The sequence below is a fragment of the Homo sapiens genome, chromosome 3 (genome assembly GCF_000001405.40).
Source record: "Homo sapiens chromosome 3, GRCh38.p14 Primary Assembly".
Lineage (NCBI taxonomy): Eukaryota > Metazoa > Chordata > Mammalia > Primates > Hominidae > Homo > Homo sapiens.
Window position 1 is genome coordinate 195,512,620 of NC_000003.12, and position 14,633 is coordinate 195,527,252.

Here is a 14,633-nt window from a genome sequence, read left to right on the forward strand (position 1 = left end):
TGTAACTAAACTTTGCTTCCTATGTTCATTTCATTAGTCTATTATTGGTAACACTTTTTCAGACTGAACCATTAGAACAAGGCATACTGAAAAGCTGCTTATAATCCTCTTTGCTTAATAAGTGAGGTCAAATGATATTAAGATATAAAAGATTAGCCTGCAGAATCCTCTTCTAGTTCTAGTCAACACTGTCATCAATCCACACACAATTAAACAGATAGGAGCAATTTATAGGCGTTATCTTCCAGTTGCAACAATTCCCATTGGTAATAGAACTGAAATGCCGAACACTTGGCAGACTTTACTGAAAAAAATTTCAGGTTGGGCAGTTGAGATAAAATCATGACTAAACACTTGCCAAATGCATCCTCACTCACCTACTCTCAGCGTTACCTCCCCCAATAATTCCTCAAATCAAAAACCTGATGAGTCGAATCCCAAAACCACTTTGCTGGAGTAACCAAGTTTGGGGGTATGAGCCACAGACCAGAGACACTTGTTATCTGCTCTTCTATTTTCTTGACGGGTAGCAGACGTGCTCTTGTCAACCAACTATGCAAAGAGTGGACAGCGAGTGTAAGACATTCCAAAAATCTGCTTGAGCAGCAGGTCTTTGGAATACTAGTCTATCAGTACAAAACCACTGCAGCTTATAACCAACCACAACTACACATTAATCTGTCCTGAATATATATTTTGCAGTTTCTTGCATAAGTTACCAAAAAGTAAAATCTTATGTTTGGCAAGTTGTATCCGATCCATCAATACCCTGCAGTTATTGCTACCATGTCTTCCTTCTTTCACTGATAAACCATTCTCTTCCTCTTTTAGGAGAAAGTCCAAGTTTGATATATGAGAGACCCTGGCCTATTGCCCTACTTGGGATGTTATTTGATGGACAAAATGGGGTGGTTACAGTGAGATATGTTTGAAAAAGGTAAAACTAAGTTTTAAATAGGTTCCTATAAGCAGGACTGCTCAGACTCCTTATTATGATAATAATGTACATAAGTCTCCAAGAGGCTGGGGAATAAAGTACACAGTATGTGCGAGGCTTGTTTATTGCCTCATTTTCACGGAGCATGGTGTGGGATAAGGGTTTCATGGAACACACTGGGCAATCCTGTGTTGGGTACATGTTGGCTTTTATAGGCTGACACGGTCCTTGACTTGTTAAGATGGATTGTATGAAAAAAATCACGTTCTGAGCTTGAAACAGCCTGCTAAGAAACAAACTTGCAAAACACAACCAAATGACATGCATTCATCTCCAGCCACTGGCTATTTGTGCTTTTGAGCGATTTTTCCTAGATGGCACACAAACTGCAAACAAAATTAAGTTATTTCCAATTTTTCAGATTTTAAAAAACCCCAGAAGCTCAAACACCTGAAAAATGCTACTCCTAAAGCATAGTTATGGATCAATAATCCATATACATTTATTTGTAAGGTACAATTTCTAAAATGTTTTCTACATCAAAAAATGTATGAATAAAGACCATGAAATTTAGTTAGGTTTGGATTTAAATCCTATCATTTAGCATGTGTGAGGCACTGAAATGATTAATAAATAAGTTGACCAAGAGCACTTTCCTCACTTACAAAGTGTAGATAAGAATGCTTGCCTTTGTGTGGTGGTTTTGAGGGTTAGATGTAAGGGACTGAGCACAATGCTACTAAGACTGAGGAAACTACTCGGCCACAGCGTAATCCATGATCCACTCCTGGTATCCAGGGCAAGTGGTCGATGGATTATGGTCTTGAGATAGCTAAGTAACAATAAAATAAAATCCACACACAGGCAATTGTCATATTATTGTATTTTATTACAGTACGTGTAGTGTATACTAACTGAAAGGGAAAAATGTAAACAAAACCAAAGTCATGGGGAAAATGGCATCTTGCTTTAATCTTCAACTGAAAGTTACCTTAACAATCCATTTACACCATTATGTCAAATTTTAGTCATCTCTGCAGAATTTTAGACAAATGAAAACAGACAAGGTAACACCAAATAGTTAAGCACAGAAAGTGATACTGATTAAAAAGTTGAAAGTAAAATCTACCTTGGCTAGAACTGAACATTCAGATCTGTCTCTCCAGAGGAAAATCTAACTTGAATCATAATGGTTCATATTTTGACTAGTTCATACCCTATCAATTACCTACTTATGACTTGAACATACCTTTTCTCAGCTGCATGTGACAGCCTAAAACCCCACTGAGCATGCTGCTTGGCATGCCTTACTCCTCTGAAATCATCATCTACTTTCTAAAAACCAGAAAATGAGTTTGTGATTTAAATTTCAAAAAATAGTTTGTAGAAAACACAAAAAGAATCAACTGTTTAAAGTCTTATCCTTTTCTTCACTCTATGACAGCTACTTCTACAAAAAAAAAAAAAGAGTATGTGGGTACTTTCTAAGAACTCAGAAACAAGAAAACCAAAATCAGAGGGTGCATGAATATATGTGCACGCACATGTACAGACTTAATCTCTACATCCCCCAAGACAGATTTAAACAGGTAATCCCAACATTTTAAATTCAGAAACCAGAGACAAACAGTTTTGTTTCTAAATCAGTGGTATTCCTAGCTGAAATGTTTAGAATACTGCACTCACAGTTCAGCAGTACTTTGATTATATATCTCATTCAAAAAATCAAAATAATGGCCACATTCTTCTAACAGCAAGGAATTCTCCCACTTTTTATTTATTTTCAAATACTGCTGTTTCCATAAACCTGCAAGTGGAAGATAAGCTGTTCAATAAAAGCCTTCTTTCATATATGTATCTATATATAAAATATACAGACGTTATTTTAGAAGTCTGTTCATATAACAGATTATTTTGGTACTAACAAAAGTTGTACACAATTCATCAATTGTATGGCTAGAAATGAAACCATAACTAAACCAAGACACACAGGGCTTTCCTGCACTTGGTTGAAGGAAAAAATTCCACCTAATTCTTACTGCGTTAGAAGAATAAAGCACGTTTGTCATAGTACACATTATCGTAGTCCCTTAAAGCAGGGACTATTTAACAATGTCCAGGCTTACTTCTGTCTGTACATTCAGGAATAATCATATCACTGGTTACATACAATTCTCATGCAAAGAAAACCCTCAAAAAACAAACAAAAAAAACCCTCAGTTAGTTGTTTTCTTAAGTCTAATTAATCCAAACTAATAATAGCCATTTAATTAGCAATCTGTAAATCAGAGAGGTATAGAAATTCAGCAGCTAAACTGTATTTCCCACCTATAGCACTGCTGCTACTCAAACTATTTTCTTCACGTATTAGAAGAATTCATAGGCATTGATGGTCAAAATAAGAATTTCAACATAGCAGCAAATGACAGAAGAGTGAGAGAAAGAGCTCCTAATGTGGTGACAGTCTTAATGATCCTTTAAAAGGTAGAAGATTGTGTGCGTATGTGTGGAAAGGAGTAGGAAAGAAAAGCAGGAGGTTAAGACAGGTATTTAAAGGGAATGGCGAGATAGCTACATTAGAATATTTATTTTTTTAAAAAACTGCTCTGAAGTCTGCCCAGTGTACCAAAAACATTAAAAAACAAAAACAAACAAAAACCCCCCAAAAACAAAAAACAGAGCAGACATTGGTGAAAGTTTAACCTGATAATTTATTTGTGGGGAAAAAAGCTAGTTTTGATGAGAAAAAGTTCAGTCCTTTCCTTGTAAACACAAAGAAACTCAACAGGAATTTTAAAAATAGTAGGTCAGAAAATGCAACAGTAACTCTTATAATTCTTTTCAATTAAACAGACAAATCAAGTTGAAGACAAGTGTTAAAATACTATTCAGCCTAAATATTTATCAGTCTATATATCCTGTTGTTCAATTGGCTTTTGATTTTTAAAAAAATCAAATCAATAAACTTTGTAAGAGCTACCACATTTCAAGTGATGAAAATAAATTAGTTCCCCCCCAAAGATATTGTTTAACTTCTAAAGCATAAAAAGCTCTATAATATCTTATACAAATTAACCAGTGTTTTTACAAAAGTAATGCAGTTTTGGACTGATGATATTACACTGTATTTGTGGTAAAGTACTAGGCACAAGAATATATATATCGATTAGGCATTTTCAGTCTAATCAGTCTCTAAGTTTATCATTTAATTCTTGGCAATATATAATAACTGGTATGCATTTTGGTACTTAAGTCATGAATTGTGAAGAACAAGAAGCAACGTACTATAGTCACAGGGTTTACATCTAACAAACAATTGCAGTGTTGAACAAATCTCGTCTATGAACTTCGTAATTTGTTTTGCTGTTGGTCACTTGGAGTAGATCCTGCAAAGATAAAAGAAAAAGTCAACATAATTTGTTATATGTTGTCAACCCTGGCTAAAGTTCCCTTCTATTAGCATGCATGACAAGCAAATATAAAAATTTTAAAAACAAATAAGGTATATTTCATGTAGGCTGATTTAGACTGAAATTGAAGAATCTATACACTCCCCTAAATAGTCTAAAGAACAGAAGTGTCTACTTGCTGATAAAACAAACAGGTTTCAGATTGAACATTTCTGTAAGTCACAGGTGGAAAGGTAAGAGTTTACGACAACTCCAATATCCAGAGCTATAAAAAGATACATATTTATTACCTGAAAGCTATAAAATATCACCTAAGAGTCCAAACATGTCATTTTCTCCAATGAATTGTGTGAATGGGGGAGGAAAGGGGGAAGGGAGGAGACTGGCACTGTCCCAAAACTAATGGGTTCTATAGAACTTAGAGATCTGAAAAGCTGGTAAAATGTTAAGGGCCCAAAAAGGGTAGGGGGTAAATAAGGTACTTATTTCCCTAAGTCTTATCCTATTCTTGTGGGTTTTATAATGCTAAGCAGGATATACTCCTTTGCAAGGTGTACTTCATCTCCAGTGAAGAAAAATCAGGCACTGACCTAATACAAAATTTTAATCCTCCATTAAACTTAAACAAAAAATATATTTATGTACTAAATATGTGAAATGTAATATCTTATAAGCAGAGACGGACAAAATGCCATAGTTATTTTTCAAAAGAAATGGCGTTAAAACAAACAAACAAAAAACGCTGCCTCTATAACAAAAAATAAAATAAAAATAAAAATGGATAATAAAAACATGCCACAGCTACTATGTAAGATGAAGTTTGCTCAAGTTAAATATAAGTTAAACAGACTATGGGATATATAATGGAAATGAAAGGCTATATGAAATAGACTAAAAGGTTGAAGCATATTACGGAATAACAAAAAGTACTGTAATCCTGACACTATGAGACAGCAACTCATCAGGCTGTATCATAGAATTATTCATATTTAATACTATGCTTACCAAAATGGTAATACAATAATTATTTAATTTCCTAAGACTTAACCATTCTGGGCACCACAAATAACATCAGTTACGCCTCCACTGAAAAGTATGAAGTTTGTAAGTACAAGGAGTAGGTGGTGGGCACAAAAAATCTCCATTAGTGATGCAGAAGATTCACTTCATTAAATACCAGAGTAACAGTTCATAAAAAATAAATAAAACCTATTTCCTATGACAGATCAGGAGTTGCTAGGCTGCAGGGGCTGGGTGTCTAAGACTTAAAAAAAAAATAAAAACAAAAACAGTTAAATAACTTGTCAATCCAACAGTCAAAAGAATCCGTATTGGAAAGATATGACATACTTTGTATCTAACGGGATGTAAAACCAAATCTTCCATACTAAAAACATGTTTCAGGCTGGGCGCGGTGGCTCATGCCTGTAATCCCAGCACTTTGGGAGGCCGAGGCGGGCGGATCACAAGGTCAGGAGATTGGGACCATCCTGGCTAACATGGTGAAACCCCATCTCTACTAAAAATACAAAAAATCAGCCAGGCGTGGTGGCAGGCGCCTGTAATCCCAGCTACTCGGGAGGCTGAGGCAGGAGAATGGCGGGAACCCAGGAGGCGGAGCTTGCAGTGAGCCGAGATCACGCCACTGCACTCCAGCCTGGGTGACAGAGCGAGACTCTGTCTCAAAAAAAAAAAAAAAGTTTCATTTAAAAATTTTAAATTTTAGATCGTTATGACAAATACAACATGACCTAAAATATTCAAAACAAAATATAGCTTAATATGAAGACAAACATCCTTGCCTAAAGGCAAGTAAACCATAAGAAAGCCATATAATAAAACATATGGTCTAAAATCAAATCAACTCTAGGTATAAAAACTTTATTATTCTGAAATTGGCCATGCGGGTTAAAACTTTAGAAACATTTGGTATAATAAAGCGAATCTCAGCAAAATTTTCTGTTTTTTCACAAGTTTAAAGCAAAATAAAGTACATTATCTTAGGCATAGACCATTACAAAAGTCTCAGTGACATTTTCCAAACATCTAACCTTGATTTGATTCTTCCGTATTCATGCTTTCTCCATCTGCAGTCTCTAACATTTCTTCATCTTCATCATCATCATGTAGGTCTTTTGAAATTAATTGTCTGGCTAGTTTGATATTGAGTCCTTCATTGTAGTGAAGCTTCCTTTTCATTTCAAATTGTCGCTTTTTTTCTATAAGATGCAAAATGTAAACTTAGGAAGTTTGAGCTCAAGGATTGGCCCATGCCTGTTTTATAAATAAAATTTTATTGAAACAGTGATGCTCATTTGTTTTTGTCATGCTTAAGGCTGCTTTTGTGTTCAATGGCAGAGTTGAGTAGTTCGTAATAGAGACCACTGGGCCCTGCAAAATTTAAAATATTTACTATCTGGCATTCATCTCAATGGAAGAACAAGAATATATCCAGCCATTAGAAATTATATTTGTGAAGAAAGATTAAAGCTATGGGAAAATTATCCAGAAAGAGTTAAATGGTGACAAAAGAGCGAGTTACAACACCATATACTATATTTACTATGTACAATGCCTGTCACATACACACACAGAGAGAAAAATAAGACTCAGCAATTAACAGTGTTTAATTCTGAGTCAAGGAACAATGAAGTAGTTTTAATATTTTATTATTTTCTATTTTTATAATTAAGAAAAAATCCTTTAAAACAATTCTTACCTGTTAAGAAACTGCCATGATTTAAGACATTGTTGGCTAAAAACGTAACCTCATTTTCAGAGTAATTTTAAGAAAAACGTATTATAAAGTAATGGTGAAGTGACTCCAAAATATTTCATTTTAGTCTTCACCATAGAAACATAAAGCTGGCAGCAACACAACTGATCACACTAGAGCAACTATTTATGAATACATAATTTTAAGGTTTTTAACTTCCTTAGATCAGAAAATTAAAAAAAAAAAAAAACAACAGAAAAGGGGGGGCCAATATAAAATTGCCAGCTATTTTACCAATGAACAGCATTAAAATTATTCACCGTTGTTTTATTTTTTCTTTTTTTCAAGATGGAGTTTCACTCTAATTGCCCAGGCTGGAGTGCAATGTGCAATCTTGGCTCACGGCAACCTTAGCCTCCTAGGTTTAAGCGATTCTCCTGCCTCAGTCTCCCGAGTAGTTGGGATCACAGGCATGTGCTACCACTCCTGGCTAATTTTGGTAGTTTTAGTAGAGACGGGGTTTCATCATGTTGGCCAGGTTGGTCTCCAACTCCTGACCTCAGGTGATCCGCCTGCCTTGGCCTCCAAAAGTGCTGGGATTACAGGCATGAGCCACTGCGCCTGGCTTCACCATTGTTTTATTAAAAATTTCATCAAAATATTTCAATGTCAAAAATGCACAGAGGCCAGATGCTGGGGCTCATGCCTGTAATCCCAGGAGTTCAAGACCAGCCTGGGCAACATGGCAAGAACCTATCTCTACAAAAAAATTACAAAAAATTAGCTGGGTGTGGTAGTACACGACTGTGGTCCCAGCTACTGGGAAGGCTGAGATGGGAGGACTGGCTAAGCTTAGAAGGCTGAAACTGCAGTGAGCCGCGACTATGCCACTGCACTCCAGCCTGGGTTGACAAGTGAGACCGTAGCTCAAAAATTTATTTATTTACTTTTTAAAAAGCAGAGACATCTCTCAATAAGGGTATTTACAGTACTTTCTTCTTTTTTTTAAATTTTAATTTTTAGAGATGAGATCTCACTGTTGCCCAGGCTGGCTTCCAACTTCTGGGCTCAAGCAGTCCTCCTACCTCAGCCTCCCAAGTAACTGGAACTACAGATGCGTGCCACCACACCTGGCCTCCAAAGTACTTTCTCTTTGTTTGATTTTTACTAGAGACGGGGTTTCACCATGTAGGTCAGGCTGGTCTTGAACTCCTGACCTCAAGTGATCCACCTGCCTCAGCCTCCCAAAGCACTGGGATTACAGGTGTAAGACACCGCACCTGGCCAGTACTTTCTTAATTCCCTAAGCTTTTATCAACATCTATACTTATATTTTTAAAACTTATACTGAAGTCCGGGCGCAGTGCTCACGCCTGTAATCCCAGCACTTTGGGAGGCCGAGGAGGGCGGATCATGAGGTCAGGAGTTTGAGAACATCCTGGCTAACATGGTGAAACCCCGTCTCTACTGAAAATACAAAAAATTTGCTGGGCGTGGTGGCACACGTCTGTAATCCCAGCTACTCAGGAGGCTGAGGCAGGAGAATCACTTGAACCTGGGAGGTGGAGGTTGCAGTGAGCGAAGATCGCGCCACTGCACTCCAGCCTGGGCGACAGAGCAGGACTCTGTCTCAAAAAAAAAAAAAAAAAAAAAAAAGAACTGCAATAATTACCCAGTTTAGACAATAAAGTATATGAACATACAGTAAACATTCTGCCATAATGATTTATGTAATTTTAAAATCGTTACAAGTTGTTGAGTCATAATTTAATTCCCTATTTTTGGTTAAAGATTTCTGATTTCCTTCATGTTTTCAATGTTTCTTTTGGTTTGTTTTTATTTTGTGAAGGTATATCAGCAATTTTCAATGTTTTTAAGACTATATATATAAAATATATTGTGCATTTGTTCTATTATTTTCTCAGTATGAGCCAGTGTTTTTGAAACTGTGCATCATGATTATTTATGTACTTATTTATTTTTTTAAAGACAAAGTCTCACTCTGTCACCCAGCCTGGAGTGCAGTGGCATGATACCGGCTCACTGCAACCTCCACCTCCCAGGTTCAAGCAATTCTTGTGCCCCAGCCTCCCGAGTAGCTGGGATTAGAGGCGCCCACCACCATGCCTGGCTAATTTTTGTATTTTTAGTAGAGATGGGGTTTCGCCATGTTGGCCAGGCTGGTCTCAAACTCCTGGCCTCAAGAGATCCTCCTGTCTCAGCCTCCCAAAGTGCTGGGATTACAGGCATAAGCCACCAAACCCGGCCATCATGATTCTTAATAAGTCATAACTAACATTTAAAAAGGTTAAGGCAGACTATTTATATGAATACAACAAGTGAATTATTCTTTTTATACCTACTTTTACTTTTTATGGGGGAATATCTTAAGTTGTTAAAAGTTAGTATTTAGTGAGTGCTCACAATATGCCAAGATCAGTGATAAGTGCTTTAAATGCTTTAACTCATTTAGTAGTCACCAAAATATTTTTACAGCTGCCAATTTAGAAATGAGAAAACGGAGGCTCGGAGAAATTATGCAAATTAGCCAAGTGGCATACCTGGAGCACAAACTTAGGTTTGTCTGTCTTCTTAGACAATAATCTTAATTGTTATGCTGTGAGTTACAGTTTTTCTCCCTAAGCTATCTACTGTCAATAGACAACAATTTTTCAGCCACGTAACATCTATATAATTCAGTAATAACCCCACCAGTGGAAAATGAATTAATGAAATTATAATTAGTCAAATGGCTCCCCCTGCTGGTTGACTCATGAAATCACAACTTGAGAAAAACATCCCTCAATTAAAACTGACATTAACAAAAAATTCCTTATTCTCAACAGATCATGTTTTTAGAGAGTAATGAGGAAACAAACTCCAGAAACTATTTCTATTTGAAATACTTTTCAAGGATCTTTTGGGGTATATTTTGGGAAAATAAATGGAAAGTCACTGAAAGTTGAGATACAATACAACTTGAGAATATGCTACATGTAAAATTTCTCTCGTACAAATATTAGGCTCAGCCCATCATAGCTCTGTTGAACAGGCTATATTCTGAAGATGATAGGAAAGACTAGTAAATGATATCTTAGCAGCTACACGACAAAGATCCTTCGTTCTAAAGTTTCTCAGCTTCTTCACGGTACAGGAGGTAGTCCCTACGCCACAACACTTCAAGTAGGTTTCTACCATATTTTCCTTCTTCCTCTTTTTTGTGAGTATGTGCTTTTCTTATATCTTTCCCCTCTACCCACAAGCTTGGATTTTCCTTTAAAAATAGTTGCAAATAAACTATACACAATTTTTTAACTCCTGAGAAGATTATATATTCACATGAATCAAAAAGTATAAAATGCAACAAGATAAGACATACTCCTTTTCTCCCAGCCTCCACGGGTAACCACTTTTACTTGTGGAAACAGAAAGCACGAGCAGGCAGCAATGCCTTAAATGTGTATGTGCTGAATGGCCTACGAGACCCTCTTCCATCCCTGTGAAGGGGAGGGCTGTCTCCATCTCCCTTCCTGTGACACTACTGCTCCTTTTGATTGATGGGACCTAATAAAGACCTTCACTCTGCATCTGATCATCTTGGTTCATTTGTTAAGTTGCATCACTGTCCAACAACACAAAAAGCATAAGCAACTGGGAAATTAGCTCTTTCAGCTACCCACTTTAAGACCGTCCAAACGCTCAATGACTTGAAATGCATTAATTTAAAAAGTATTTACTGAGTATCTACTCTGCACTAAAAAGTACAAAGAAAATAATACTTATAATTACTTTAAAGATGGTAATACTTCCCCATATTCTTGAAATCAGGGGTAAAAAACTATTACACAACAAAACACACAAGTAGTATCTGAATTATAAAGATGTTGCTTTCATTCTCCTCCCCTGTGTGTCCCCAAAATGAAAACCATTTGCTCATCTTCCAAATAATGGATTTATCTTAGCAAAAATTACTAGCACCATGATGAAAGCAGTAAAGGAAATAAACTACCTCGTTCTTCAGGTGAGAGGTCACTATCCTCCTCTCCACTGCTTTCTTGTTCCTGAATCCGATACTTTGGCTCCAAGCCTTCAGCTGCAGCTAATCTATGCAACAATCATGTACAAAGAAATTAACAGTGATGTTTTGATATTATTTAAGCGCCTTATTCAACTGTTGATTCTTACAAAAACATCTGAAGATCATTAATGTGCTAGCTATAACCTGATGAGGAAAATAAAAGGCAAGAGAGCAGAAACGTGCCGGGCATGGTGGTACACGCCTGTGGTCCTAGCTATTTGGAAGGCCGAGGTGGGAGCACTAGTTAAACCCAGGAGTTTGAGGTTGCAATGAGCTTTGATTGCGCCTCTGCACTCCAGCCTGAGTGATAGAACAAGGCCCTGTCTCAAAAAAAAAAAAAGAATAAAAAGAGTAGAAATGGGCATAGACAAGAACAGTGGAATGGGTGCTAGAAATCAGTAAGTAGCAAAGGAAGAGTGCTTTTATGAATTAACTTATTTTTGCCTTTCTCACTGCTACCTTTAAAAACAGGAAGCAGGGGCCAGGCGCGGTGGTTCACCCCTGTAATCCCAGAACTTTAGGAGGCTGAAACCAGCGGATCTCTTGAGGTCAAGAGTTCGAGACCAGCCTGGCCAATATGGCAAAACACTGTCTCTACTAAAAATACAAAAATTAGCCAGGCTTGGTGGCATGGGCCTGTAATCCCAGCTACTACTGGGGAGGCTGAGGCACGAGAATTGCTTGAACTTGGGAGGTGGAGGTTGCAGTGAGTTGAGATCACACCACTGCACTCCACCCTGAATGACAGAGCGAGACTCTGTCTCAGAAAACAAATAAAACCCCCCACAGGGAAGTGACACATTTCAGTATCCCAAGTGCAGGTACGCTGGTCTTCCTGCCACCTACATACCTTGATTTTAATCAAGAGACAAGACTATAAAAGTTGGTGACTCAGAAGGTGAAAAAAGGGGGAAAAAAGGAAAAAAAAGTCGGCATAAAACATGTTGATCAACAGCCTTTTCTTCCCGCTCATACAGGGACAGCCACGCAGGCTGCTTTCAACTCTGCACGATTATAAACAGCCTAAGTGAAAATGTGCTCCGGTCATTAGTACTTACTTCCTGGCTAAGATGTCTGGCGCCATGGCTTCAGTGGCCTCGGTGTCACTACAGGCATCTTCATCATCCCCCATCATACTAGTATGACAAGCACATTGTAATTAATACCTGAAACATACATTTTCAGCCACAAAAACAAGGGAGAAAAACAATTCCATCAACCTACTTAACATATCAATATATTTATAGCTCTGTTGATATCTTTGAGGTTTAACTTTATATAGTTCCTATTCAATACAAATACTTAAAAGTACAGCACCCAATCAAGAAAAGACTCCAAATGATTAAAAAAAACACATAAATACAGTCTGCCTGCCATATCCACAGGATCCACATCCATGAATTCAACCGTGGATTGAAAATAGCCAGAGAAAAGTAAAATTTCCTCTGTACTAAACATGTAGACTTTTTTCTTATCATTATTCCCTAAATGATACAGTGTGTAACAACTATTTGCACAGTATTTACATTTTATTAGGTAATATAACTAACACAGAGATGATTTAACACATACAGGAGGATGTGCATAATTATATACATCTACAATGCCATTTTATATCAGAGACTTGAGTGTCTGAGGATTTCGGTATCTGAGGGAGGTCCTGAAACCTCCATGGATAATGAGGAATAACTGTACTGAAAACGTAAATGATCTGGAAAAAAAAATACTACAAAGTTCCAATTATTCCATCCAGTGGGAAGGAACAAGTAATGCAAAGTAAATCACTGTCTGGTTTTAGAACATGTATTTCTACATCAATCTTAAGATAGAGACAAAAGATCTACGCAGACACAAGACTGAGTAAAGTAACAAAATTCGATCCCAAAGATCTAATTTCGGAAGTTTACAAGTGATTTAGCTTTCTCACTCTACCCTCTAATGAAAAATTTGCTCCCCACTTCAATGCAAAAATGGGCAACCTTAATTCTTAAGCCACTGCAAAGTATATAAAGCAGAACTCAGCTATTTATAAAATACTGCCAGTTTATACATTTCCTGGTTAATTAAGGTGACAAGTAAGTCTATAGTTTAGATGACGTTCTTTTTTCTAAGGGAAGTTGAAATTGATCTATGTTATTGAGTTTAATCAAGCAAAGTAAGGTAAAATAAACATTTTGTTAATTTATAGAATCGTTCTATAGAAAATTCTAGTTGTAAAATTTACTGAATTATGTTTATATATGTACATGTATACAGAAGCAATAACTTCTTGTATACTAACTGTGAGATTCTTAGATAATAAGACATGATGTTTCTATAAAAAGCATCTTCACTTAAATAAAATTTTTTTTTTTTTTGAGACAGGGTCTCATTCTGTCACCCAGGAGTACAGTGGCACCATCACGGCTCACTACAGCCTCAATTTCCCGGGCTCAAGTGATACTCCCACCTAAGCCTCTTGTGTAGCTGGGACTACAGGCATGTGCTACCATTCCTGGCTTAATTCTTTTTATTTTTTGTAGAGACGGGGTCTCTCTATGTTGCCCAGGCTCATCTCCAATTCCTGAGCTCAAGCAATCCTCCCACCTCAGCCTCCTAAAGTGCTGGGATTACAAGGATGAGCTACCATGGCTGGCCAAATGAAACTCTCAAAAAGAAAAAAGAAAGTCATGGAAAGAAATGATAAAACTGAGCAGTGAACTGATAAAAGCAGGACACAGGTTATCTCTGCATGCACATAGCCTCAATTACTTAGGGACCAAATAACTTTTCTGGTTATTTGAATGGCAAATATCTACCATTCAAATTATATTTATAAACAGTCAAAAAATAATGGCCATAGCTATTCTGAAATTTTTTTTCTTTTTCTTTAGAGATAAGGTCTCCCTCTGTCATCCAGGCTGGAGTGCAATGACGTGATCATGGCTAATTGCAGCTACAACCTCCAGGGCTCAGACAGTCCTCCTGCCTCAGCCTCCTAGCTAGCTGGGACTACAAGTACACACCACCACCTCTGGATAATTTTACTTTTTTTATTTGAGACAGAGTTTCGCTCTGGTTGCCCAGGCTGGAGTGCAATGGCGCGATCTCAGCTCACTGCAACCTCTGCCTCCCAGGTTCAAGTGATTCTCCTGCCTCAGCCTCCCGAGTAGCTGGGGTTATAGGCGCCCACCACCACATCTGGGAATTTTTATGTATTTTCAGTAGAGACGGGGTTTCACCATGTTGGCTAGGCTGGTCTTGAACTCCTGACCTTAGGTGATCCACCCGCCTCAGGCTCCCAAAGTGCTGGGATTACAGGCGTGAGCTGCTGTGCTTAGTCTAATTTGTTTTAATTTTTTTTGTGGAGATAAGAGTCTCACTCTGTTGCCCAGGTTGGTCTTGAACTCCTGGGCAAGAGTTCTTTGGGGAAGGGCGTGGTGGCTCATGCCTGTAATCCCACACTTTGGGAGGCTGAGGTGGGTGGATCACTTGAGGTCAGGAGTTTGAGAT

The 14,633-nt window shown here is 37.4% G+C and overlaps 1 protein-coding gene and 1 pseudogene across 5 annotated transcripts in view, besides 1 other annotated feature; both read right to left on the bottom strand.

The window, feature by feature from the left end:
* Positions 1–1,808: 1,808 nt before the first annotated feature.
* PPP1R2 (protein phosphatase 1 regulatory inhibitor subunit 2) overlaps positions 1,809–14,633 on the bottom strand; it is a 28,898-nt gene continuing 16,073 nt past the window's right edge. For 2 of the 5 annotated variants that reach the window (NM_006241.8, NM_001316325.2), the window contains 4 exons: positions 12,200–12,277; positions 11,073–11,167; positions 6,399–6,566; positions 1,809–4,323 (listed from right to left, as the gene is read on the bottom strand). In NM_006241.8, coding sequence (NP_006232.1) covers positions 4,277–4,323; positions 6,399–6,566; positions 11,073–11,167; positions 12,200–12,277 — 388 coding nt within the window. In that variant the 3' untranslated portion in view covers positions 1,809–4,276. Of the gene's footprint in view, positions 4,324–6,398; positions 6,567–11,069; positions 11,168–12,199; positions 12,278–14,633 lie in introns of all 5 variants that reach the window. The other 3 variants (NM_001291504.2, NR_133014.2, NM_001291505.2) reach the window with 3 other exon arrangements.
* Positions 4,219–4,419: a silencer, noted in NCBI's record as "peak4984 fragment used in MPRA reporter construct". NCBI's record gives its function as "represses an SCP1 promoter by STARR-seq MPRAs in K562 erythroleukemia cells {active_cell/tissue: K562}" and the evidence as "EXISTENCE:reporter gene assay evidence [ECO:0000049][PMID:32103011]".
* On the bottom strand, positions 10,468–10,602 carry RNU6ATAC24P (RNA, U6atac small nuclear 24, pseudogene; annotated as a pseudogene).